General features: G+C 37.4%; 1 annotated feature.

Moving 5' to 3' along the window:
* Positions 1 to 1,711: an enhancer, noted in NCBI's record as "VISTA enhancer hs1738". NCBI's record gives its function as "enhancer in: limb[7/7]" and the evidence as "EXISTENCE:transgenic organism evidence [ECO:0001131][PMID:17130149]".

Raw genomic sequence — 3,838 nt, 5'->3', positions numbered from 1 at the left:
GGCCACTCTGGTTTTATAGGCATGCTGTTGTTTTATACACAGTTTGTTACAGAGCATAAACATGCTATATTCAAAATAAGAATACCAGCAGCAGAAAACAGCAGAATGTCATGACCACTTCAATTAAGAAGTATAGATATTTGTTAGATTAATTAAAACTCCAGGCTTTGATTCAGAAAAATATTAACTGCAATTCAGCCTCAACTAGATTCCAAACTGGCAAAAAGCAAACGTATTAATATGTGGTCAATAATGACTGACAGCCTTAGCAAAATCTGGTAAAAAATCAAGAAATGATTTTCTGGGTATAAAGTTTAAGCATACTATAATCCATTTTTCATCTGCTCATACCCTGTCAGTGGTATTATTATATTGCCTATGGAACTCAAATTACAAAGCAATCTTTCTTTGCTTATGTTATACCATGCCAAGTAGGCCCAATAATTCAGAAATATAAAACCACTACCACTGCCCATTTTCAATAGAAAGCAAATAATTGGCTAGGTTTTTATTTGAATAGTAGCCTTGCTTTCCACAGATCAGAGGAAAGATAAAGTGGAACAAGTTAAGAAGGAAAAAAGGAAAAAGAAAAAGATTGCCTCAGAGGTGACTGAAGTTAGCAAGGGCATCCAAGAGTCAGGATCATAGCACCACTTTGTCATTTGTTTTCTCAAAGTGTAACCAAAGGTTGTTTCCAGCTCTTGATTTAGGATCTAAGCAATCCTGGCAGTACTATCTCCTTCATCAAGTATTCTGTATTCATTCCCTAGCAAAGCTGGTTATCGATTAATTTTTTTCTGATTAAATTTACAAGAATAATACAAAAGCAATTGCCCCATGAATTTTGCCTCTGATACCCCAGCCGACCAAATGTAAAAGTGGCATATGGCATAAAAGCAAGCTGCAGATGGCCCAACAACAGCCGTGCACATCTGGCACATGGTTGTTTGATTTTGTCTTTGCCAACTCGCCAGATGACTCTTTCTGGAGAGAAGCCCAATAAGAGAAATTCACTCATCTTCCTTCTTTCACAAGCTCAATGTTTTACTCACTCTTCTCACTCGCATCTGTACATCTTGAAACAATTATAAGATTCTCAGCCATTCTAAAACAAAAATATATATATTTTTCTGGTTCAATATGACAGTAAATAGTAACCAGGTTCTCCGATTTTACAACCTCTGTAACTAATTCAGAGCTTTATATTTGGAAGCTAGTTAGCCTATAAAATGAAAGAACATTTGGTGCAATGACTATTTAGTGGTAAAAATACACTGATAAAAATCCAGGAATATCACTTTCCCTCCAAAATCCTTGTAGCTAGATACTGGAATCAAGCTATCAAGATATTTTTAATCTCACTCAATTTGACAGTAGAGATACAATTGGAATAGAATATTAAGAAATCACTCTTATTACAAAAATTATTTTTTATGGGAGGTAGATTTATATGTTCTACGACAAGAGCATATATGCTTTAAGTATGAGCTATCAGCATAAGATGTCTGTGGTTGTTATTTTTGCTAATCCCCAACTATTACCTATTCTCCCTATTTCTAGACACAGGATGTGATTGATCTTTGCGACTATGTGACTTGCTTTGGCTAATAAAATTTGAGTGCAAGTGACATATGCCATGTCCACGTGAAAGACTTCAAAGCCAGTATATGATTTACTACATTTCCTTCCCACTGATGAAGTGACCCTGAAAGCACATGTATAGAAGGAGCCACCATCAACCTGGGTCTCTAAATAACTACAATGAGTAGATGTTTTGCTGCCAAGTCACTTCAGACATATAGACTAAGTGAGAAACTTTTATTAAGCACTGAGATTTGAGAAGGTTTTTTTTAGTGTATTATTAACCCATCCTCACAAAGTCAAACACAAATTTCAGGAATACAATCATCTTAACTTCAAGTTTAATTAAAAAAAAGAGTGATTTAATAACTAGTTCTCAGACAAACTATCTTATATAATCATATTTAAAAATGACAGGATTTTATTGAGAAGTCGAGAGACTTCAGTCTCTGACTAATTACCCCCCTTTCTTCTTGCTTCACCACAGAGAGAAGTGAAATAAGATAAACTGGAAGTACAAATGGAACCTTTATAGTAAAGTGTTATAATCCAGCATTTAAACTATTTCCATGCTATTGTATGATCTGAAGCTTAATAGAAACTAGCAGTAGAGACTCTAGAAACCATATTTCCTTCAAGTTCCTGGAAAACAGAAAACATGAAAATACCTAGAGACGATTTTTTTTTACTATAAGAAAAAAGTGTTTGGGAAGCTATCAAGGATTTTTGTTTTGCTTTTTTTTTTGCTGTTTTTTGGTCATTTTATTTGTTTTCTTCTATTTTAACAATTCTAACCTTGATTTATCTTGGGCTGATAAAAGTTAGATATTAAAGACTTCACTTCCCATTATGGGTGACTGACACCAAGAGTCCAATGACTCACAGGGTTGTGTCTGAACATTACCTGAATTTTTCTTCAGTGCCTCACAGTCAACATGTTCAAAAGAAACAAGTCTCCTTCCTAAAATTTATTTCTTCTACTCAATTTCCCAGCCACAGAATGCAACCACCATTCCCTCAAGTTTTCTGAGTTAAAGGTACATGATCCACCCTTGGCTTCTCTATATTTCCTGGTTTACTAGGTGATATGGCTTGGCTCTGTGTCCCCACCCAAATATCATCTGAAATTGTAATCCCCATGTGTCGAGGGAAGAACTCAATGAGAGATGATTGGATCATGGGGACAGTTCCCCCATGCTGTTCTCATGATAGTGAAAAAGTTGTCATAGATCTGATGGTTTAAAAGTGGCAGTTTCCCCTGCATGGACTCTCTCTCCTGCCACCTTATGAAGAAGGTGCTTGCTTCTCCTTCGCCTTTCACCATGACTGTAAGATTCCTGAGGTCTCCCCAGCCATGTGGAACTGTGAGTCAACTAAAAACCTCTTTTGTTTATAAACTGCCCAGACTCATGTATTATCTTTATAACAATGTGAAAATGAACTAATACAGATAATTGGTACCAGCAGAATGGGATACTACTAAAAGATAGCGTGAAAATGTGGAAGCAACTTTGAAACAGGCAGAGGTTGAAACAGTTTGGAAGGCTCAGAATAAGACAGGAAGATGTGGGAAAGTTTGAAACTTCCTGGAGACTTGTTGAATAGTTTTGGCCAAAATGCGGGTAGTGATGTGGACGATGAAGTTCAGGCTGAGGTGCTCTCAGATGAAGATGAGGAACTTGTTAGGAATTGGAGCAAAAGTTACTGCTGCTGTGCTTTAGCAGACTGGTGGCATTTTGCCCCTGTCCTAGAGATCTGTGAAACTTTGAACTTGAGAGCGATGATTTAGGGCATCTGGTGGAAGAAATTTCTAAGCAGCAAAACATTCAAAAGGTGATTTGGCTTTTGAAAGCATACAGGTATATATGCTCACAAAGAGATGGTTTGAAATTGGAACATATGTTTAAAGAAAAAGCAGAGTGAAAAGTCTGGAAAATTTGCAGCCTGACCATGTGGTAGAAAAAAAAAACAAACATATTCTGGGGAGAAACTCAAGCCAGCTGCAGAAATTTGCATAAGTAATGAGAAGCTGAATGTTAATAGCTGAGACAAAGGGGGAAATGTCTTCATGGCATCTCAGAGATCTTCAAGGCAACCCCTCCTATTAAAGGCCTGGAGGCTTAGGAGGGAAAAATGGTTTCAGGGGTCAGGCCCAAGGCCCCACTGCTCTGTGCAGCCTCAGGACATGGCGCTCTGTGTCCCAGCTAATCCAGCTCCAGCCATGGCTAAAAGGGGCCAAGGTACAGCTTGGGCTGTG

This window comes from Homo sapiens, chromosome 6, assembly GCF_000001405.40.
Source record: "Homo sapiens chromosome 6, GRCh38.p14 Primary Assembly".
Lineage (NCBI taxonomy): Eukaryota > Metazoa > Chordata > Mammalia > Primates > Hominidae > Homo > Homo sapiens.
The sequence above is the reverse complement of the archived record's forward strand: the minus strand, read 5'-3'. Positions and strand labels throughout refer to the sequence as shown.